This window comes from Homo sapiens, chromosome 11 (genome assembly GCF_000001405.40).
Source record: "Homo sapiens chromosome 11, GRCh38.p14 Primary Assembly".
Lineage (NCBI taxonomy): Eukaryota > Metazoa > Chordata > Mammalia > Primates > Hominidae > Homo > Homo sapiens.
Window position 1 is genome coordinate 2,215,266 of NC_000011.10, and position 25,308 is coordinate 2,240,573.

General features: G+C 44.4%; 1 annotated feature.

Annotated features, from left to right (window-relative positions):
• Nucleotides 8,098-8,672: an enhancer, noted in NCBI's record as "OCT4-NANOG hESC enhancer chr11:2244593-2245167 (GRCh37/hg19 assembly coordinates)". NCBI's record gives its function as "activates a minimal SCP1, AML or CMV promoter by ChIP-STARR-seq in naive H9 embryonic stem cells {active_cell/tissue: H9 hESC(naive)}" and the evidence as "EXISTENCE:reporter gene assay evidence [ECO:0000049][PMID:30033119]".

A 25,308-nucleotide genomic window follows, 5' to 3' on the forward strand; every position in this document is an offset into this window, starting at 1 on the left:
CCGCAGCCTCCCCAGCCAGGCCACACACCCCAGTCCTCGTTCAGGGGTACACATTTGTCCCCTTCATACACAAGCCAGGCTCCACTCTGGGCACTGGGTCACAGCCAGGAGCAAAACAGACCCAGTCCTAGAACCCGCAAAGCATCCACCCTGGGGGAAAGGAAGCAGAGATCAGAGGTGTCACTGAGCACACAGAAGCTCGAGGTGCTAAATTCCATGGAATGGAAGCCAGGAGTAGCCAGAGGGAGCACGGGTGCTGGGGGGTAGGTGAGGGTGACTGAGACAGCCACTGGGGGGTACGTGAGGGAGGACCGGGACGGGCGCTGAGGGGTAGGTGACGGGGGACCGGGACGGGTGCTGGAGGGTACATGAGGGAGGACTGGGACAGGCGCTGCGGGGGTAGGTGAGAGGGGACCCGGAAGGCCGCTGGGGAGTAGGTGAAGGGGACTGGGACGGGTGCTGGGGGGGTAGGTGAGGGGGGACCGGGACGGGCGCTGGGGGATAGGGGAAGGGGGACCAGGACGGCCACTGTGGGGTAGGTGAGGGGGGACCGGGAGCAAGTCCCAGACAAGTGAGTTTTCAGAAGCCCGCGAGGCCCTCAAGTGGACAGGCCAAGTGTGTGACCAGGGCTTGGGGAGACGTGAGGGTGAGGTAGCTGTCTGCAGAGGGTGCAGGAGAGCAGCCACCCAGGAGGCCCACCTGGGGCCCTCAGTGTCAGAGGCCGCGGAGCCTGGCTTCTGCTTGCCCCCACTGCCCCGGGCCTTCTCCTGCCCTGACCCACAAGCCCTGTGGGGGTCCCTGCCCGGCCCAGATCCCCCCACTATATCCCAGTGTGTCCAGTAGGTGCTCAGTCAGTGCCAGCAGACTGGATGGATGCAGCTGGACCAAGAGGCACTCCGGACAGACCCCCAGAGGAGCTGAGGATGGGGCCTCCCTGCGGGATGCACTGGGCGCACCGGATGCTCAGGGTGGTCTCACCATCGTGCCCCCTTCACAGAGAGGACCCTGAGCCTGGGATGCGCAGGTCCTCACCTGAGGAAAGTAGGCACCAGCCAGGTGTAACCTGGGCCAGATGGGCAGCCCCGAGGGCCGCGCCCCACCTCTCAGGCCCCGCTCACAGCCAGGCCCCAGGGCTGCTCCCAGGCCCCTGGGAGAGCAGGGTGCCGTGGGCGGTCAGCAATGGGTGCAGGGTCTCCTGAGGTCAGGAGGGAGCTCAGAGCTGCTTCTTCCCTTCTCCTTTCTCAGCTGCCTATCACCCCACCCTCTAAACAGCAGGGAGCCCGGCATAGACACACTTGTGGCTACCCCACCCTCACACCCTCAGAAATCCTCAGGGAGACAGGTCGTACACCGCCCATCCTTGCAATGGGCTCCCTGCCCCCTTTCTCCTGGAGGGCACCAGGCACACACAGGTACACACACAAACACGCAAGGCACACACACAGACACGCACAGACATGCACAGCCACACACAGATAAACACAAACACACACAGCTATGCACAGCACACACAGCCACACAGCCACAAAGACACACACAGACACACAGCCACAAAGACACACACGGACACGCACAGACACACAGCCACACAGACACACACAGACACACAGACACACAGAGACTTGCACAGCCACACACAGATAAACACAAATATACACAGCCATGCACAGCACACACAGCCACACATGGGCACACAAAGGTACACACAGACACACACAGCCACACATGGGCACACATAGCCATACCCAGATAAACACAAATACACACAGCCACACACAGTACACATAGCCACACAGACATGAACAGACAAAACACAGACACACAGAGCCACACACAGATAAACACAAATACACACCATCATGCACAAACAACAGGGACGCACAGCCACACACGGACACACACAGGTATGCTCAGACACATGCAGGTGCACAGAGACGTATGGGCACACACAGACACACAAAACAGGGGCACACACAGGCACGCAGAGACGTGCCCATCCTCTCACAGCCACACGTACCCACAGCCACAGCCACACCCATGGGCACCCAGCAACACCCGCCCTCCCAGCACAGCTGCCTGCCCACAGGGACACCACTACCAACGCCCAGCACCGACACCCTGGCACCAACGCCCAAAAAACGTCCTCAGCGGTGCCCACCCAGGCCGGCAGGCTCAGACAGACACCGCTGCTGCAGCGAGTGTGCCTGGAGTCCCACCTGCTGGGACAAGGAGACCTACAGGTGTGGATGCTGCCCGCTGCCTGCTGTAGGGGGCCAGGACCTCTGAGCCTGGCTGAGCTGGGCACCCCCGTCCCATGCCCAGGGGGTGCTGCAGGACTGTGGCCAGGCCAAGCCTTCCCAAGGCACCTCTTGGGGCCAGAGCAGCTTCCCAGGACAGCCCCCATGCCTGGCAGGCTCTCTGTGGGCTCCCCCTGTTCCAACGCCCTGTGGACCCAGCCTTGGAAGCTTCACAATGCCCGGTGCGAGGAGGACACGTGGTAATGAGAAAGGTGCCTGGAGCTGTCCAGCCTGCAGCATGCTGCCAGCGCCTCACTGGGTCCTCATGCCCTGTGCCCACTGGGTCCCTATACCAGCCTCTGCTCCGCCTGGCCCTTACACCCTCGGCTCCACCTGACTCCTACACTGGCTCTGCAACCATTCCCAGCCACAGAGGTTGGCTGCAAGTACTCACAGCTGCCCCTCCTCAGTGACTCGTTCTCAGGCAAACAGGAGGCTATGCCCCAGCCCAGGGGCAGCCCACGCTAGGAGTGACCACCCAGGAATATGAAACCCAGTCCCCTTACCTCAAAGCCCAGCCTACTATAGTACAATTTATGCCCCAGAGCTCCCTGAGGCTGTCTGCTGCCGAGACCCCCTCTTGCTTGCCTGTGTTCTCAGCCTCTTCTCTTCCTGGGAGGGCACCCCTCCCCCAACAAATCCCATGCATGAGAAACCCCACTGCAGATTCTTCTTCAGGGGAACAGGCCTGAGACAGTTGGTGCCAGGCATGGCACTGGGAAGCTGAGCCCAGGTGTGGGCTCTGTGATCAGCTCTCTCACTGACCAGGGCAAGGAGGAGCCCCTCATGGGGGTGAGCAGGGGAGGAGTGGATAGAGCCCCTGGCAGGCTAGAGCAGAACACTGTGGGATCACAGACCACCTGGTGCCATGTCCCCAGCACTTGAGAACTATGGGGAAACCTTAAGCAAAGAGCTGTGGAACGGGCAGCTTTTGCTGAGAGCCATGAAGGTCCTGAAGGAAGAAAACCCCAAGTTCAGATCTATAAATTCACAATCCAAGATCCAGTGTGAGAGTCCTAACGAGGTCATGGGTGTGGGCTTTTGTCTTACTCTGTTTGTGTTGCTATAAAGGAATACCTGAGACTGGGTAATTGATAAAGAAATGAGATTTATTTGGCTCATGGTTCTGCAGGCTGTACAGGAAGCATGGCACCTGCATCTGCTGCTGGGGGGGGCCTCAGCCTGCATCCACTCATGGCGGGAGGGTGAGAGCCGGTGTGCAGAGACCACATGGTGAGAGAGGAACCAAGAGAGAGGGAAGGTGCTGGGCTCTTCTTAACAATCAGTGCTCATGGGAACTCAAAGTAAGAACTTAGTTCTCACCCTCCTCCAGGGAGGGCATTAATCCACTCATGAGGAATCCATCCTCATGACCCCAACGGCTCACATCAGGCCCCCACCTCCAACACTGGGCATCAAATTTCAACATGAGGTTGGGGGACAAACATCCAAACTATAGCATTCCTCCCCAGTCCCCCCAAATTTATGTCCTTCTCACATGCAAAATACAATCATCCCATCTCAGGAGTCCCCTAAAGTTTTAGCTTCTTCCTGCATCCATTTAAAAGTCCAAAGTGCAAAGTCTCATCTAAGACTCAAGGCAAGTTTCTTTCAGGTATGAGCCTGTAAAATCAAAATCAAGTCATTTACTTCCAAGGTACAATGGTGGGACAGACATTGGGTAAACATTCCCATTCCAAAAGGAAGAAATTGACCAAAAGAAAGGCAGGACAGGTCCCACACAAGCTTGAAACCCAGCAGAACAGACATTAAATCTTAAAGCTCCCAAATCTCTTTTGACTCCATGTCCCACATCCCACGCTGGAAGGAAGGGTGGGCTCCCAGGACTCTGGACAGCCCTGCCCCCATGGCTTTGCTGAGCCCAGCCCACGTGGCTACTCTCACAGGTTGGAGTCCAATGCCTGGGGCTTTTCCAGGCTGCGATTGCACACTGCTGGTGTCTCTGTAATTCTGGGGTCCCCCTGGCAGCCCCATTCCCACAGCTCCAGTAGAAGAATATCTCCGAAGGGCTCTATCCCTGCAGCAGGGTTCTGCCTGGGCACCCAGGCTTTCCAATACACCCTTTGAAATCTAAATGGAAGTGGCCAAACCTCCAGCACTTTTGCATTCTGGATTCCTGCAGACTTAACAATACATGGAAGCCAGCAAGTCCCATGCCTCGTGCTCTGCAGGGCAGCTGTCCAAGCGGTATCTGAGGCCATTGGGACCATGGCTGGATCTGGGGTGGCTGGGATGTGGGAAGCAGCATCCCAAGGTGGTCCACAGCAGTGGCACCCTGGACCTGACCCTCCAAGCCACTCTGTTCTGCTAGGCCTCTGGGCCTGTGATGGGCAGGGTGGCCTCAAAGTCCTTCAAAATACCTTCAGGGCCCTTTCCCCATTGTTTTGACTGTTAGCATTATACCCTCTTTCAGTCATGCCAACCCCTCTAGCAACCGGTGTCACAAAGGACCTTGAATTCCTCTCCTGAAAACATTCTTTGCTTCTCTACCACAGGCCAGGCTGAAAATTGTCTAAATTTGTATGCTCTACTTCCCTTTTTATTAGAAATTCTACCTTTAGATCATTCCTTTGCTGTTGTAGTGATTGTAAGTTGTTAAAAGTAGCCATGGTACTTCTGGAACACTCTGCTGCTTAGAAATTTCTTCCACTAAACATTCTGGGTCATCACTCTTAAGGTTAGCCTTCTACAAAGCCTTAAAGCACGGACACAATGCAGTTGCAACCTTTGCTAGGGGTTAACAAGGGTGATCTTCGCTCCAGTCCCCAGTAAGTTCCTCATTTCTATCAGAGACCTCATCAGCATGGCCTCTATTGCCTGCATGTCTATCAGCATTTTAGTCACAACCACTTAACTAGTCTCCAAGAAGTTTAAAACTTTCCCTCATCTTCTTGTCTTCTTCTGAGCCCTCCAAACTCATTCAACCTCTGCCCATTACTCAGTTCCAAAGCCACTTCCACATTTTCAGGTATCTTTATAGCAACACCCCACTCTCAGTACCAATTTTCTCAGTCCACTTGTGTTACTATAAAAGCACACCTGAGACTGGGTAATTTATAAAGAAAAGAGGTTTATTTGGTTCATGGTTCTGCAGGCTGTACAGGAAGCACGGGGCCTGCATCTGCTGCTGGTGAGGGCCTCAGGCTGCTTCCACTCATGGTGGAGGTGAGGGGGAGCCAGTGTGTGCAGAGACCGTATGGCAAGAGAGCAAGCCAGAGAGATGGGAGGGAGGTGCTAGCCTCTTTTTAACAACCTGCTCTTGAGGGAACTAATAAAGTGAGACCTCATTTGCCCCGCTCTACCAGGGAGGGCATTAACCTGTTCATGAGGGATCTACTCCCATGACCCAAACACCTCCCATTAGGCCTCCACTTTCAACATTGGATCAAATTTCCACATGAGGTTTGGAGTGGACAAACATCCAAATTCTAGCAGCTTTAATCCAACCTGACTGATATACTTGTGAGAAGAGGAGATTAGAACCCAGACACACACAGGGGGAGGACCCTGTGAGGACACAGCTAGAAGGCAGCCATCTGCCAGCCAAGGGGAGAAGCCTCAGGAGGAACCAGCCCTGTGACACCTTGATCTTGGATTCCAGCCTTCAGGACTGAGGAGGATAAACTTCTGGTTATTAAGTCCCCCAGTCTATGGTACTTAGTTATGGCAGCCACAGAAAGTGAATTCGGGCAGCAAAGAGGAAATGGCACCAGTTGGCCTTACCCACAGGGGTCTTTGAGAAGGATAATAGAGCATGATGCTCCTAGAGGGGACAGGTGGGCAACCAACCAGGTGACCCTTTAATATAGAAACAAGGGATCAAGACTGGATGCCTGAGGCTGAGATCATTCTCTCAAATGCAATCCTGACCCCTTGACCATTTCCAGACCTCAGCCAGTTCTCAGACCCAGACTCACCAATGGAAAGAGAAGCTGGGTCCCCATGAGGCAGGACCCTGAAACAGCATACCAAATGCAACCTGTGGTATGTCCTCAGTCCTTTCCCCAAGGGACCTACAGCCACTGAATCAGATCATCACAGCTGATAACTGAGGGACACAACTATCTTTGCAGGGCTGTTGCATATGGAGTCTGCATAACACTCATAACACTGGTACTAGGGGACCCAAGTGCCATCATGGGCCCCCCATTAAAGAAGCAGCATAGGGGAGTTAGATAATAAGTGGAAATCTGGCCCAGGTCTATCTCATGGGGTGGGCTATGTTCATGAACCCATTTGAAGATTACGCCCCCAGTTCCTACACAAATAATCAACATGGACCCATAAGCAGGCAGACTCCTTCATCAGCTCCTTGACCTTTGTGGTAAGACCTATTATGGCAGGAAAGAACAAGTAGAAGTCCCTGAACCTGCCTTTACTCCAAAGCCAGAAAATAAGTCAAAACTGATGACACTCTCCAAGGCTTTTCACCCACTTCTGGCAAAGACGAAGTAACAGGAACTGGGTTTCCCCTCTCAGCTGAAATAATAAGCAAAAAGATTGAAGAAGAAAAAAAAAAAGAAACACTGGTTTTCAAGAAAGGATATTGGGCAAAGAAGGACAGTGATCCCCAAGAGAAGAAAAACAAAGTGAGCCCTACAATTGCCTTGTCTTGCTGCCCTGAGAGAGTTTTTGGACTGCAATACAGGGAGGAAAATTGAGGCAGAGCCCAATGAATCCAAGTTGAGGTAACAGAATTGGGGGTTTGGGGAGACCAAGGTGGCTAGAGTTTGCAGGGCAGAGAAGAGAGTGGTACAAAGAGTGAACCCTGGAGATCTCCAGAAGGTTCCCCCTAAAATATTCAGCAGGATACATTCATCACAGGCCTGGGAGGGAATGACCCAAGCCTGGAAGGACCAACTGAAAGGGTTCGGGGCTGCAAGACCCAGTACCTATGCAGAACTGGGAGAAGAACCAGTTCCCACCAGCCAGACTGGAAAATGTCATGATTCACAGGGCATTGGGTAGTGTACCAATAAAAGGGTCTTGCCCCAGCAGTGGGGAATAATTAGCCCTGGATGGAGTAATGTCCCAGGCCTGCCTGACAAGCCATAAAAGCAAGATATGAAAGGAACAAGTTGTTCCAAAGTATCTTAACTGCATCCCAGAACAAAGCTCAGCCGTGTTCATAGGAATGCAGACGTATCCAGTATCCAACACGGCAAAATTCACAACATCTGCAACCAATAAAAAATTGTGGGATCTGCAAGGAAGCAAGAAAATACACCCATAATGGGGAGAAAAATCAACCCATTGTAACAAACCCAGAACAGACATGAATGTTAGAATTGGCAGGCAAGGACATTAAAACAGTTATTGTAACTGCATTCCCTATGTACAAAGAGCTAAACAGAGATGTGGAGAGATGTGAAAAATGTAAGAATGAACCAAATTGAGCTGTCAGTATGAACACAGCAATGTCTGAGATAAAAAATACACTGGATGAGATTACTTAAAGATATACCAATAGAAAATATTCCAAATGAAATGAAAAAACAAGAATTGTTTTAAAATGATAAGAGTATCATTGAGCTATGGGACAATTTCAGGTGGCCTAGTATACAAGTAATTAGAGGGCCTGAAGGAAAGAATAGGGAGGGACAAAAACATTCTGAAAAAAGAATGGATTTTTATTTTCACCCTCAACATGTAAAGAGCTCCCATCCTTCCACCGGAAAAAGCAGAACAACCTGAAAATCACTAACTTTCTCAGACCCATCAGAGACTTGAGATTGTAGAGCAAATCACTCTCCTGAAATCAGGGAAATGGGGAAGTCCAGAGAGTTGTGGCCAAGACTGGCTTACTGGAGTAGAAGCCACGGGAGACACAAACAGACACAGATGTTTAAATGGTAGTTCTGATCAACTGCTGAGACAGGCTACCCTGAGAGTAAGAGATCCTGGGGGTGTGCAGTCTTGGGGGCTCCACGCTTTCATGGACTTTACCTCCAGGAACCAGTTTCTCACTGTGAAGAGCGCAGAAGAGCCTGGTAGGAGGCAGGTAGGGGGCAGGGGTGAAGAGTAATTGTGGAGCAATTTCCATAACAAAGTACTACTCTTCTGGGGAAAGATGTTTCCAGAGCCTTATCCCACCTGGGTGAAGGGCATTTCCCCAACTCCAGCCCCTTCTAGCTCTCCTGTCACTCCCAAGTTGCAAAAGCTATGACACTGGGAAATACTTGTGAAGGTTTCAGCCCGAGGCACAGGCTCACTGTAAGGCATTTAATTGGGAGAATATAGAACACTATTCTCCCCCTCATACCTGACTCCCTGTCAGAATAACATAAACCCTCACAGTAGAGGGCTCTTTACCTCAGTTTCTATTACCTGATAAACAAAAAATTTACAAGGCACACCAAAGGATAAGAAAAGGCACAGCTTCAAAAGACAAAACAAGTGACAGAACCAGACTGAGATATGACACAGATGTCAGAATTATCACATAGATAATTTAATATAACTATGATTAACATGCTAAGAGCTCTAATGAAAAAAATCGACAAAATGCTAAGAAAAGATGGGTAATCGAGCGGAGATATGATAATCCTGGGAAAGAATCAAAAGGAAATGCTAGAAATAAAAAACATTTTAGCAGAAACAGGGACCGCCTTCAATGGGATTATCAATAGGCTAAGCAAGTCTAAGGAAAGAATTGAGGAGCTTGAAGACAGATCAACAGACACTTTCCAAACTGAAATGCAAAGGAAAAAAGAGGAATTGAAAAAAACAAAACAAAACCAGAACAGAGCAACCAAAAACTGAGGGAAATTTAAAAAATGTAACATACTTGTAGTTGGAATACCAGAAAGAGAAGAAAAAAGGAATGGAGCAGAAGAGATGTTTGCAGTTATAATGGCTTAGAACTTGGCAAAATTAATGATAGACATCAAACCACAGATCCAGGAAGCTCAGAGAACACCAAGCAGAATTTTTTAAACATTAAAAAACCCTCAACTACACATAGACATATTATATTTAATCTGAGAAGACCTAAGACAACAAGAATTCTTGAAAGACACAAAAGGAAAAATACCGCATTACCTAGAGAGAAATATGGATAAGAATTACAATGACCTCTTGTCCGAAAACTGCAAGCAAGAAGACAATCAGATGAAATAATTAAAGTGTTGAAAGACATATACTACCAACCTAGAATTCTATATCCAGTTTTATATATATGTGTGTGTGTGTATATACATACATGTATGTATATGCACATATATGTATATATACACATGTGTATATGTGTGTGTATGTGTGCATATATATTTACATATAATTTTTAAATTATATAAAAATGATTTTTAAAGCCCTGAGAGGAACAAGGGCCACAAGTATGTTCAAAGTGTTGATGATACATGTGTCCTGCAATTCACATTAATTCTCACAGCTCTTAGGCTATCATTAAAAAAAATTTTTTTTCAGCATCAGTCTCACTCTGTTGCCCAGGCTGGAGTGCAGTGGTGTGATCATAGCTCACTGCAGCCTTGACCTCCTGGACTTTGAAATCCTCCTGCTTCAGCCTCCCAAGTAGCTAGGACTATAGATGTGCTGCACCACACCTGACAATGTTTTTATTTTTTATTTCTGTAGAGATGAGGTCTCACTATGTTGCCCTGGCTAGTCTTGAACTCTGGGGATGAAGTGATCCTCCTGCCTCTGCCTCCCAAAGTGCTGGGATTATGGGTGTTAGCCATTGCACCCAGCCTATATACAGTGATAGGCTGGGTGAAGAGAAAGTAAAGACTTTTGCAGACAAACAAAAATGGAAGGAATTTATCACCAGATCTGCCCTACAAGAAATGCTGGGATTACAGGTGTGAGCCACCACACCCGAATGAAATGTTAAGATTCTTTTTTAGACAGAGGAAAATTATAGGTCAGAAACTTGAATCTGCATAAAGAGAAAAGGAGCATCAGAGAAGGAATAAATGAAGGTAAAAGTAAGATCTTTTCTTATTCTAAATCAATGTAATGATAACTATTTGTTTCAAATAATATTAGTAAGAATGCATTGGGTTATTACAGCATATGGGTAAGTAAAATAAATGACAAGCATTATAAGGGATGGGAGGAGGAATCGGGACTTTATATAGTTTGGTATTTGTTCCCTCCAAATTTCATGTTGAAATGTGATCCTCAATGTTGGAAGTTGGGCCCAGTGATAGGTGTTTTGGTCATGGGAGTGGATCCCTCATCAATGGCTTGGTGCCCTCTCTGCAGCAGTAAGTTTATGTGAAAGCTGTTTATTTAAAAGGGTCTGGCACCTCTCTTGCTTCCTCTCTTGCCATGTGACATGCCTGCTCCCTCTTTGCCTTCTGCCAAGGGTAAAACCTTCCTGAGGCCTCACCAGAAGCAGATGATGACATCATGCTTCTTATACAGCCTGCAGAACTATTAAACCTCTTTACTTTATCAATTACCCAGTTTCAGGCATTCCTTTATAGCAATGCCAAATGGACTAACACAGGACTTATCTGTGCTACTAATGAAGTGAAATGGTGTTATTTGGAGATGGACTTAGGTAAATTTAAAATGTATATTGTAAATGCTAAGGTAATCACTGTTTATCTGTTTATCAACAGAATAAACAGAAAACCTACAGAATGGGGGAGATATTCTCAAACTATGTATCTGACAAAAGTCTAATGTCCAGAATCTATAAGGAACTTAAACAATTTGATGAGTGAAAAACAAATAACCCCATTAAAAAATGGGCAAAATTGGCTGGGCGCGGTGGCTCATGCCTGTAATCCTAGCATGAGGATTTGGGAGGCCGAGGTGGGCAGATCACGAGGTCAGCAGATCGAGACCATCCTGGCTAACACGGTGAAACCCCATCTCTACTAAAAATACAAAAAATTAGCCGGGCATGGTGGCAGGCGCCTGTAGTCCCAGCTACTCAGGAGGCTGAGGCAGGAGAATGGCATGAACCCGGGAGGCGGAGCTTGCCGTGAGCGGAGATTGCACCACTGCAGTCCAGCCTGGGCAACAGAGTAAGACTCCGTCTCAAAAAAAAAAAAAAATGGGCAAAATTCAATAACAAATACATCTCAAAAGAAGACATACAAATGGCCAAGAAACATGAAAAAATGCTCACCATCACTAATTACCAGAGAAATGTAAATCAAAACCATAATAAGATACCATCTCACATCAGTCAGAATGGCTATTATTAAAAAGTCAAAAAATAACAGATAACGGCAAGGCTGCAAAGAAAAGGAACACTTATATACTGTTGATCAAAATGTAAATTAGTTCAGCCACTGTGGAAAGCAGTTTGAAGATTTCTTAAATAACTTAAAACAGAACTACCATCCCAGGCAACAGTCCCATTACTGGTTATATACCCAAAGAAAAACTAATCATTCTACCAAAAAGTCACACGCATTCATATGTTCACTGTAGCATGATTCACAATAGCAAAGACATGGAATCAACCTAAGTGCCCATCAAGGGTAGATTAGATAAAGAAAATGCGGTACATATACACTATGGAATACTACACAGCCATAAAAAAGAACAAAATCATGTCCTTTGCAGCATGGATGCAGCTGGAGGCCATTATCCTAAGTGAATTAACAGAAAACCAAATACTGCATGTTCTCACTTATAAGTGGGAGCTACGCATTGGATACACATGGACATAAAGATGGGAACAACAGACACTGAGGACTACCCAAGAAAGGAGAGAAGGAAGGGGGCAAGGCCTTAAAAACTACCTATTGGATATTATGCTCGCTACATAGGTGATGAGACCATTTGAACCTCAGGTTCATGCAACATACCCATGTAACAAACCTGCACAGGCAACCCCTAAATCCAAAATAAAATTGAAATTATATTAAAAAGTCACTATATAATGATAAAGGAACCAGACTTCCAAGAAGATACAACAATCCTTAATGTGTATGTACCTAACAACAGAGCACCAATACACATGCAGCAAAAGCTGATAGACCTGCAAGGAGAAATAGACAAATTTACTGTTACAGCTGGAGACTTCAAGACCCTACGGCCAGTAACTGATAGGTCAAGAAGACAGAAAATAGACAAGGATAAAGTTGACCTGAACAGCAGTTATAGCCCAACTTGATCTAATTCACATTTTAGACTACCTCATCCAACAACAGAATAATACACATTAATCTCTAGCTCATGTGGAACATTCATCGTGATAGACCACATTCTAGAATAAAACATACTTTAATTGAAAATAATAGAAATTATATAAAGTGTTCCCAGACCATAGTGGAATTAAACTAGAAATAAAAAACAAAAAGCTGGCAGGAAAATCCTCAAATATTTAGAAATCAAGCAATACACCTCTAAATAATCCAAGCTGAAAAGAAGTCTCAAGAGAAATTTAAAAAATATTTTTAACTAAATGAAAATGAAAATACAGTATATCAAAATTTGTAGGACTCAGCAAAAGCAATGCTGAATATAGCATTAACTGACTATAATTAGAAAGGCAATCAGTAACCTAAGCTCCCACCTTAGGCCTAAAACAAGCAGAAGAAAAATTTAATAAAAATTAGAGGATAAATGAATGAAATTCAAAACAGAAAAAAATCAACAGAAATAACAGCTGGTGCTTTGAAAATATTAATAAAATTCATAAACCTCTAGCTAGGTTAGGCAAGAAAAAAAGAAAAGACACAAATAATCAATATCAGAAATGAAAAAGTATCATCACTGTTAATCCCATGGACTGTGAAAGCATAATAAAGAAATTCTATAATTAACTCTATACCCACACATTTCACATGGATGAAATAGACCAATTTCTGGAAAGACACAAATTACCAAAACTTACACAAGGTGAAATAAATAACCTGGATATCCCTGTATCTATTAAAGAAATTGAATTAATTGAATTAATAATAGTAGCCTTCCTAAAAAGAAATTACCAGGCCCAAATGGTTTTAGCAGTGAATTCTATTAAAAATTTAAGGAAGAAGTCATACCAAATTCTCCACCAAAAAATCTCTTCCAAAAAATCAAGGTGACAGACACACTTTCTAACTCATTCTATGACGACAGCATTACTGTAATAACAAAACTCAGGTAAAGATATTATGGGAAAGGAAAACTATAGACCAATATCTCTCATGAATATAAATGCAAAGACCTTCTTAAAATTAGCAAAGTGAATCGAATAATAAATAAAAAGAATTATGAAGTACAATCCAAATGGGATTTATTCTAGATATGCAAGATGGGTTCAGCATTCAAAAAGCAATCTCTGTAATCCACACATCAACAGACTAAAGAAAACAATATATAACCATATCAAATGAAGCAGAAAATTTATTTAACATTTTTCTCTCTTTGGCTTCTTTCTGCTCTTTCTCTTCTTCCCCTTCCCTGTCTTCCTCTTCTCCACTACTCCTCTACTACTCCTCTTCTCCTCTACTCCACTTTTCTGAAGGGGGAAGACATTAGCTCTCCAAGTATGTAAGAAGTGGCTGCAGCCACCATAGGTATATCCAGTTTCTGTGACAAGATTTTAGTGATCTTGTCCAAAGTATCTTATGACCAACAGCTGGAGTTAAAAAGAGTGAAGTCAGTAAGATGGCAGAATAGGAGATTTCCACCATCATCCCTCCACAAAAGCATTGATGTTTCAACTACCTATAGATGACAGTATCTTTGTGGAAGTCCAGGAGTCCAGTGGAGAAGTTCTAGCACAGTTATAGCAAAAAATCTAATAATAAATGCATTGAAGAGGGTAAAAGAACCGTTTGACTTTATCCACATCACCCCTTTTTCAAGGCAGCATAGCTCAATGCCAAAATAAATCTATTAGGTCCATGACCTTTCCACAGAGGAAAGTGAGTGAGCACCAGGCTCCCCCAGCCATATGGCAAACTGCCCAAGAGGCCCACTGTTTCTCACCCCACTGAGAACACTGAGGTGGTCGGCACAGCTAAGTGGTTGCAAGAAACTGAGAGAAGGTGAGAAAGGCCATAGACCCTACTAATTTATCTGCAGACTTCATCATAAACATATAATGTGGGGAAGGAAGAGGAGTGAAGTAGTTTTTGTATGGGACTTAAGCTATTATCAGCTTAAAATAGACTGTTATATGATGTTTAATGCAATTCTCCTGGTAACCACAAATCAAAAACCTATAGTAGGTACACAAAATCAAAACATACAATTACAGAAAATCATCAGATCACGAAGAAAGACAATAAGAAAGGAAGAAAGCGACAAAGGGTGTATAAAATATCCAGAAAACAATGAACAAAACAGCAATAGTAAGTCTTTACCTATTAATAATTACTTTAAATGTAAATGGATCAAATTCTACAATCAAAAGACACAGAATAGCCAAAGTGTGGTGCACTCCTGTAGTCCCAGCTACTGAGGAGGCTAAGGCAGGAGGATTACTGAGCCCAAGAGTTCAAGTCCAGTTTGGGAAACATAGTGAGATCTCATCTTTTAAATTAAAAAACAAAACACAATGGCTGAATGCATTTAAAAAGCATGACCCAAGTATATGCTGCCTACATGAGATTCACTTCAACTTTGAGGATACACATAGACTGAAAGTGATGGGAAGAAAAATGATAGTTCATACAAATGGAAACCAAAAGAGAGCAGGGGTAGCTGTACTTATATCAGACAAAATAGACTTTATATCAAAAACTAACAAGAGAAAAAGATTATTACATAATGATAAAGTGATCAATTTACCAAGAGAATATAACAATATTCAACATATATGCACCCAACATTGAAGCACCTAAATATATAACTAACTAAAGGGAGAAATAGACAGCAATGCAATGATAATAATAGAAGACCTCAACACCCCACTTTCAACAATGGATAGATCACCCAGACAGAAAAATCAATATGGAAACAAGCACTGGACTTGAACTACACTTTAGACCAATGGACCTAACAGACATACACAGAACATTCCATTCAACAGCAGCAGAATATACATTCTTCTCAAGTATTCACAGAATATTCTCTAGGATAGATCATATGTTAGGCCACAAAACAAGTTTTACCAAATTTAAAATGACTGAAATTATATCAAGCGTCTTTTCCAACCATTTCCAATTTCTAGTTTGGTATCAAACTAGAAATCAATAACAGAAAAAAACAGAAAAATCCACAAATATATGTAAATTAAACAACACACACCTGAACAACCAATGGGTCAAAGAAGAAATCAAAAGGGACACCAAAAATATCTCAGACAAATGAAAATGGAAACACAACATACCAAAATGTATGTGATACCACAAAAGCAGTTCTAAGAGAGAACTTTATAGTGATAAACGCCTGCATGAAGAAAAAGGAAAGATCTCAAATAAGCAGCTTAACTTTATACCTCAAAGAACTAGAAAAAGAAGAGCAAGCTAAGCTGAAAGTTAGCAGAAGGAAGAAAATAACAACAAGCAGAGGTGGAAAAGATTAATGAAATTAAGAGTTGTTTTTTGAAAAGATAACCAAAATTGATAAACATTTAGCTAGATGAAGAAAAAAAGAGATAAGCTAAAATAAATAAAAATGAAAAAGGAGACATTCAACTGATACTACAGAAATACAAAGGATCATAATAGACCACTATGAGCAATTATATGTTAACAAACTGGATAATCTAGAAGAAACAGATATATTCCTATAAGCATAAAATTAACTAAGAATGCATCATAAAAAAATAGAAAATCTGAACAGACCAAGTAAGGAGATTGAATAACTAATCAAAATCACATATCAAAGAAAAGCCCAGGACCTCACGGCTTCACTAGTAAATTCTACCAAACGTTTTGAGAAGAACTAATAACAACTGTTCTCAAACTCTTCCAAAAAACTAAATTTTTGGAATACTTCCAAATTCATATTATAAAACAAGTATTACTCTGATGTGAAAGACAAGGACACTACAAGAAAAGAATACAAACCAATATCCCTGATAAACATAAATGCAAAAATCCTCAACAGAATACTAGCAGCAAACCAAATTCAAAAGCATATTAGAAGAGTGACACGCCAAGATCAAATGGGATTTATCCCTCAGACGCAAAGATAGTTCAACATAAGCAACTCAAAAAAGTGATACATCACATTAACAGAATAAAACATAAAAATTATATGATTATCTCAATAGATACAGAAAAATCATTTGTCAAAATTCAATACCATTTCATGATAAAAAAGTATCAATAAATTTGGTATAGAAGGAATGTACCTCAACACAATAAAGGTCATATATGACATCTCACCTCTAACAACATACTCAAAAATAAAAAGTGAAAAGCTTTCTCCCTAAGATCAGGAACAACAAAAAGGATGTCCACTTTTGCCAGTTCTGTTATACATAATACTGGAAGTCCTAGCCAGAGAAATTAGGTAAGAAAAAAAAGCAAAAAAAAGAAAGCATCCAAATCAGAAAAGAAGAAGTAAAATTATCTCTGTTTGCCAATGACATGATTACATACATAGAAAACCCTAATGACTCCATGAAAAAAAGTTAGAACTAATCAATTTAGTAAATTTTTAGGACACAAAATCAATATACAAAAATTGGTTGCATATTGATGTACTAACAATGAACTATCCAAAAAAGAAATTAAGAAAACAATTTACTTACAATAGCATCAAAAAGGATAAAATACTGAGGAATAAATTTAATCAAGGAAGTGAAAGATATGTACACTGAAAACTAAAACTTGGATGAAAGAAATTGATGAAAACAAACAAATGGAAGGATGTCCTGTGTTCACAGATCAGAGGAATTAATGTTGTCAAAATTTCCACACTACCCAAAGTGATCTAAAAGTCAATGCGAACTCTATCAAAATTGCAGTGGCATTTTGCACAGAAACAGAAAAAGCAATGCTAAAATTTTTACAGAACCATGAAAGACCCCAAATAGCTAAAGCAATGTTGAGCAAGTGGACCGAAGTGGAGGCATCACACTTCCTGATTCACCAGGACTCAAAGTCCTGGCTATTTCAATAAGACAAGAGAGTGAAATAAAAGGTATATAGATTGGAAAGAGAGAAATAAAACTGTTTATATTTGCAGATGCCATGATTTTACATCTAGAGAATCTCTAAGAAATCAACAAAATACTCCTGGAACTAAAAAGCAACTATGGCAAGGACCCAGGATACACATTAATACACCAAAGTCTATCACTTTCCTATATACTAGCAATGAGCAACTGAAGTCTGAAATGATAAAAAAAAAAAGATACCATTTACAATAGAACCCCCAAAAACATAATTCTTAAGAATAAATTTAACAAAATATATATAACACCTTGTAAAGGTTAATTTTGGTTGTCAACTTGAAGGGATACCCAGATAACTGGTAAAGCATTATCTATGGGTGTCCCTGTGAGGGCATTTCCAGAAGAGATTGGCGTTTGAATCCGTGGACTGAATAAGGAAGATCTATCTTCACCTGATGTGGGTGGGCACTATCTAATTGTCTGAGGGCCCAGATAGAGCAGAAAGGTCAATGGTCTACTTGCTCAGTCTCTCTCTATTTATCTACCTACCTATCTTTCCTGGAGCTGAGACACCCATCTTCCACTGCCCTTGGACATTGGAACCCCTGGTTCTTCAGCCCTTGGACTCCAGGACTTGCACCAGTGTCCCCCGGGTTCTCAGGCCATCATCTGCAGACTGAGTTACACCACCAGCTTTCCTGGTCCTGAGTCCTGCACACTTGGACTGAGCCATGCTCTTGGCTTCCCTGGTTTTCCGTCTTGCAGGAAACACATTGTGGGACTTCTCAGCCTCCATAATTGCATGAGCCAATTCCCATAATAAATCCTGTCTCATATAGCTCTATCAATTTTGATATCTACATCTATATCTGTATCTATCTGCATCCTACTGGTTTTGTCTCTCTGGGTAACTCATACTACGTACCAGGAATGGTTCTAGTGGGGACAGAATTTTAAGAGTGAGTTCCCTAAATTGGTTTTAGAGTTTCTGGAATTGGGTCTTTAGTCTGATTAGACTTAAAAATGCTAAGGACTCTACTTCCAATAGTACCAAGAGTACCGATAGTCATTCCATAAATTGTTTATAAAGATACGCAAAATACATGCATTAAGTACTCCTAAGCAACCACTTTTTAATTTTTTTTCCTTATTTATTTATTTTTTATTGTGGCAGGGGCTCTCTCTGTCACCCAGGTGGGAGTACAGTGGCACAATCACAGCTCACTGTAGCCTCAACCTCCTGGGCTCAAGTGATCCTTTCTTATTTTATTTTATTTTATTTTATTTTATTTTATTTTATTTTATTTTATTTTATATTTTATTTTATTTTATATTTTATTTTATTTTATTTTATTATTTTATTTTATTTTATTTTATTTTTTGTAGAGATGAGGTCTCACTATCTTGCCAAGGCTGGTCTCGAACTCCTGAGCTCAAGCGATCCTCCCACCTCGGCCTCCCAAAGTGAGCAGCCACTTTTAAGAGGCAAGGAACTTAGAGGCTCTGTATATGATACTTTGGAGCATTTGTGGAAAACGAAGGAATGAATGAACTGTTGGTTACTCCTAATGTTCCAGGACAAAGTGATGAAGGAAAAGAATGAGATCAGGTATTTGGATTCTCAGCTCAAGCACCGCATAAATGACCTAACAGCGGCTAGGTGTGTCCCTAGGGAGAACCTAGGTCCTATAGCCACAGGGTCGGAATTGCTGCAAGTCAAATGCAAGCCCTCATCACGCAGTTCTCGGCCTTGCTGGGTGTCTGTGGTAGGCTCAGATAAATGCAACGTTTTTATCACAGCCCCAGGAAAGGTTTTTGTTGTTTATGTTGCTGATGTTGTGTTTTAAACAACTCCTCTATTAAAAAAAAAAAAAAAAGAAAGCACAGAGAAATAAAAGAAACTCTGATTATCCTGTATTGTGCACAGAAATACAAAATAAGAATCTAGAAATTTTAGAATATTCAGCTAAAAATTCACATTGTGTGTAAATGGCATTTACTGGAAAGACGGTGATTCTTAACTGTGGAATTTTGTCTAGAAATGTTGATAAATTTACATCCTAATGGGATTGATCTCACATTTGGTTTTGCTTACATGTTTATAAAGCATTAAAGTTTGGTTAGCCAAATTTCTCATACTTGATATATATCAGAAATTGTATTTAAAAGCTTTACTTCTGTTGTAAAATTAGTTGCCTGAAATGAATAAAACCAATTAAATTGATATTTAAAAAAAAAAGGGAAGGCATTGGTTGAGAAAGAATTGATATGTTGGAATGGGGACCTGGGAGGGGGGCCTTGATGAAGCTGGGGACATTGCACCCTGAAATACTGAGCCTTCTTTTACCACGGAAAAAGTCTCTCCACAACCAGCATAAGTGACATTCCCAGCCCCACAGGCAGCAGCGTCCCTGGCCCAGTGGAAGCAGCCTCCCCGCCCCCAGCAGCTCTGGCCTTTCCACCTCCTCTGGGGCATTAACCTGCGTTGCCTGAGGAAAGGGTAAGGACTTCCCCTAAGGCGGTTGCCAGGCAAGTCAGTGCTGATTCTCCTCCGGTCCTTCCCCCACCACCTCCCTTTGCTTCTGGACCTATAACAAGACTCGCAGCCCAGGAGGCCCCTGAAGGTGAGGCCCACAGTGTGACACAGGAGGAGGCGAGCCACACCCCAGAAGAGCCACTTGACCTCTCTGATTTACACAGACAGACACCCAGGGGCATCAGTGGGAGCAGACACTGGGTGTGGGCACTGGGGGAGGAACACGGAGGTGGAGGGGCCGGGTGTGCAGACGTGTCCACCAAGCAGAGGCCGCACTCCAGGCTGCAGCTAGGGGACTTGGAAAAGCTCTAACTGGCTGGTCGGTTGAAACATGGATCAAAGGATGCCCGCAGTGAGCGAGCTGGAGGTACCCAAGCTCCCTTGGCTTAACATAGAGGAAGGGGTTCAAAGGCTCAGGGAGATGGGAATGTGACAATGAAAACCTCCTCACCCACCCTGGGAGGGCCCAGGATGCAGGCCTCTCACAACACTGAGACATAGATCTGTGAGGGAGCCCAGTCTCCTTGAAGAGCTCTGCAATTGTTCTTCTCTGTAGGCCAGACTCACAGTGGGAATTGCAGTCAATCAACTGCGAAACTTTACATGCAACGGGGAATAATCGGATCCTGGGGTAGCAGGGGCCAAAGAAAAAGTGGGTGTGGTTACCATGATGGACAGCAGAAGCGAAGCAGCAATCAGACCTGGGTCACTGGTCTGACCCATGCAGACCTATGGCACTGGCTGCTTATCATGTTCCTAGCAGTGAAATAAACAGGAAATCTGCTCAATTCCTACTGGATACAAGCAGTAAACTTCCAGGCCAAGTGGACAAAAGTCTAAGTTCAGTCATAAAAACACAGAGAATCATGGCCTTGGTCATTCACAGACTTGAGACAGTCTACGGACCCAGAACCCTCGAATGCAAGAAAGGCGGGTACCCTTGAGAAAAAGTCTCCCCACAACCAGCATAAGTGTCATTCCCAGCCCCAGAGGCAGCAGCGTCCCTGCCCCAGTGGAAGCAGCCTCCCCGCCCCCAGCAGCACGGGCCTGTATAGTCCCCAGAATTTATCCTGATAATCTTTTCCGCAGTCTTCCTGAAAGAGACTGTGTATTGGAGAAAAGAAAATACTGCAACATTTCGGGACGATTGGACACTGGCTCTGTCCTGACATTGATTCTAGGAGACGCTGGAAGGACACTGTGGCCCTCCAGTTAGGGAGGGGCTTAGGGATCCAGGTGATCAATGGAGTTTTAGCTCAGATCTGACTCTGTGGGTCCAGTGGGTACCCAGCCCATCCTGTGGTCATCTTCCCAGCTCCAGATGTGTAAGTGGAACAGACACACTCAGCAGCCAGCAGAGTCCCCACATGCGTCCCCTGACCTGGGGTGTGGTGTCTGCTATGGGGGGAAAGGACAAGTGGAAGCCATTAGAAAGGCCTCTACCTAGAACCGTCAGTCAAAAGCCATCCCACATCCCTGAAGGGACTGCAGACATCAGTGCCACCACCAAGGACTTGAGAGGTGCAGGGGCGGTGATCCCCACCACAGCCGATTCCACCCGCCTATTTGGCCCGTAGGAGAGACAGGCGGGTCCTGGAGAATGACAGGGGACTGTCCTAAGTTTGACTCCAGCTGCAGCTGCTGGGCCAGACGAGGTTCCATCGCTTGAGCAAATTAGCACATCTCCTGCTCCCTGGTGCGAAGCTCTTGATCCGGCAAATGCGTTCTCCTCCACCCCTGTCCACAGGGCCCAGCAGAAGCCAGGCCAGCAATGCCCCCTCGCCGCCCCACCTCAGGGGCCTCTCGCCTCTCCAGCCCGTGTCAGAGGTAATTCTCAGGAGTCTCGATCACCGCTCCCTTCCCCAGGATGTCACACTGGCCCATTACACTGGTGACATCATGCTGACGGGACGTAAGGCACAAGAAGTAGCCTCCATCCTAGACTTGTTGGTGTCGGAGGGTGGGGAATAAACCCAACTGGAATTCAGAGCCTTCTACCTCAGGGAAACGTCTAGGGGTCCAATGGCGTGTGGCCTGTGGAGTTACCCGTTCTAAGGGGAAGGATAAGCAGTTGCATCTGCCCCTTCTTAGTCATAACTAAGAGACAATGCTGAATGGGGCCTCTTCGAATTTTTTTTTTTTTTTTTGAGACAAAGTCTCACTCTGTCACCCAGGCTGGTGTACAGTGGTGCAATCTCAGCTCACTGCAACCTCTGCCACCCCCCAAGGTTCAAGCGATTCTCCTGCCTCAGCCTCCCGAGTAGCTGGGATTACAGGTGCACGCCACCATGCCCAGCTAATTTTTGTATTTTTAGTAGAGACGGGATTTCACCGTGTTGGCCAGGCTGGTCTCGAACTCCTGACCTCAGGTGATCCACCTGCCTCAGCCTCCCACAGTGCTGGGATTCCAGGCGTGAGCCGCCACGCCGGCCCTCTTTGAATTTAGAGCAACACATTTCTCATGTAGTTAATCTGGCCCAAGTGCCCTGAAAAGCTGCCAGTTTTGAGTAGAAACCAGAGCAGGAGAAGGCTCTATGGCAGATCCAGGCTGCCGTGCAAGCTGCTCTGCCCTGTGGGCCATGTGACCCAGCAGATGCAGTGGCGTCTGGGATGTGGTGTTAGATGGGGTGCCGTAGGTGAATGGTGACTGGTTGGTGTTAGATGGGGTGCCGTAGGTGAATGGCGACTGGTTGGTGTTAGATAGGGGTGCCGGAGGTGAATAGTGACTGGCGTGTGGTGTTAGATAGGGGTGCCGGAGGTGGATCACAGCACGGGCCTTTAGGACTTTGCGGCGAGGCCCTGCCACCATCCACAGATAACCACTCTCCTTTGGAGAGACAGGGCTTGGCCTGCTGCCGTGCCTTAGTAGAAACTGAATGTTTGACCATGGGCCACCAAGTTACCCTGTGATCTGAGCTGCCCACCATGAACTGGGGAATTATCTGACCCACGTAGCCATAAAGTTGGGCATGCACAGCAGTGCTCCGTCATCCAACAGAGAGGTATATACATGATCCGGCCTGAGCACATCCTGAAGACACAAGTAAGTTACATGAAGAAGTGGCCCAAATGCCCGTGGTCCCCACTCCTGCTACACTGGAAAAGGCAAAACGAGAGAGACAGTAGACGCATCAGTCATTGCCAGGGGGCTGGTAGAGGAGAGAGGTAGGTGAAGCACAGGAGGTTTTTTTTTTAGGGCAGTAGAACTATTCTTACTACCTTAAAAGGTACTGTAGTGGTGGCTACAAGGCATAAGCATGTCTCAAAAGCTATAAAACTTTACAGCACAAAGAGTAAACCTTAATGCATGCAAATTTTAAAAAATAATAATTTACCAGGTCAGGAGATCCCAGGATGGAAAGCAGAATGCGATGCAGTCATCTTACTGTGCTATCTACGTATGAAACAACCTCACTGAGGGAGCTGGGAATAAAGTGCTGGCCTAAGTAACTTTGGAAATGAGTGGAGTCTGTAAGACTCAATGCAAAAATAACTATACATAAACACTGTACCCTAGTTGGTAAGGTTGTTGCTTATGCTTGTATGGGTTAACAATTCTGATATCATCCTGATATCAGATATCATTCCAGAATACGTATTCTGGAATTGGACAGTTAAGTAAGTGGAAGTAAAATGGTGGGAACCGAGTGTCTTATGGTTGCAGTAGAAGGTTACAGATGAGCAAGGAGAGACTAGAAAAATCCATGTGGGGCAGGAGTACAGTTAGAGACATCAGTATCAACCGATGGTTAGCGTAATATAGACACAGATGGTTACATTTAGAAATACTATGATGTGTGCATATACACATGCTAATGTATACACATATATTTCCTTTCTCTGTCCGCTGAGAGGGCCTAAAAGCAAAGAAATCCCAGTAGCAATGAGCACCAGATCTTGGTATCAAATACCACTCTCCAGTAAAAGAAATCTTGGAAAAAATAGCTGATTCTAGGAATAGCACAGGAAATATATACGATGGCCCTAGATGCTTTTACACTGTTGGTAGGAATGTAAATTATTTCAACAATTGTGGAAGACAGTGTGGTGATTCCTCAAAGACCTAGAGACAGAAATACCATTTGACTCAGCAATCCCATTACTAGGTATATACCCAAAGGAATATAAATCGTTCTACCATAATGACACATGTACACGTAAGTTCAGTGCAGCACTATTCACAATAGCAAAGACATGGAATTAGCCTAAACGCCCATCAGTGATAAACTGGATAAAGAAAACATGGACCAGCCTGGCTAACACGGTGAAACCCCGTCTCTAGTGAAAATACAAAAAATTAGCTGGGCGTGGTGGCACACGCCTGTAGTCCTAGCTAGTCGGGAGGCTGAGGCAGGAGAATCGCTTGAACCCAGAAGGCGGAGGTTGCAGTGAGCCAAGATCGCTTCACTGCACTCCAGCCTGGGTGACAGAATGAAACTCCATCTCAAAAAAAAAAAGAAAAAAAAGAAAAAGAAGATGTGGTATATATAGATACACATACCATGGAGTACGACACAGCCACAAAAAAGAATGAGATCCTGTCCTCTGCAGAGATGTGGATGGAGGAGGCCATTATCCTTAGCAAACTAATGCAGGAACAGAAAACCAAATACTGCATGTTCTTACTCAAAAATGGGAGCTGAATGATGAGAACACGTTGACACATGGTTGGGGGGGAAACACACACTGGGCCTACTAGGGGGTGGAGGCGGGGAGGAGGGAGAGGATCAGGAAAAATAACTGGTGGATACTAGGCTTAATTACCTGGCTGATGAAATAATCTGTACAACAAGCCCCCATAACACATGTTTACCTATGTAACAAACCTGCACATCCTGCACATGTACCCCTGAACTTAAAATAAAAGTTAAAAGAAAAGAAAAAGACCACGTTAGAGCATCTTGTAGTACCAAAAAGTAAGAAAGCACTGCAGACAATACCTACAATTATGGGGATATGCCAAAGGGATACAGGAGCCAACTGAAAGAGCTTCCAGTGGCCAAAGCTGGAACAATTTGAATAAAACAAAATAAATGAAGTAGTAATGGATTATAACCCAAATTATAAAATAAATATTCTGGAGTGCAATCTGATACAAATCAATGATTGAATAAATAAATATATGGAAGACAACAGACAAATCTACCATGCAGAAGAATTTCAAACAATTTATGTAGCTACTTCACCCTTAACAAGGTGGAGCATAACTCCCCACTCCTTAAATGTGGGCTGTGCTAGTGACATCCTTCCAAAGAGGACAGTATTAAAAGGGGAGAAAAGAGTCACTTAATGGTGGAGAAACCTGACAAACAGCATGTGTTAGGCCGTTATTGCATTGCTATAATGAAATACCTGAGGGTGAGTAATTTATAAAGAAAAGAGGTTTAATTGGCTCATGGTTTGGCAAGTTTTACAGGAAATGGTGCTGACATCTGCTCAGCTTCTGGGGAGTCCTCAGGAAGCTTACAATC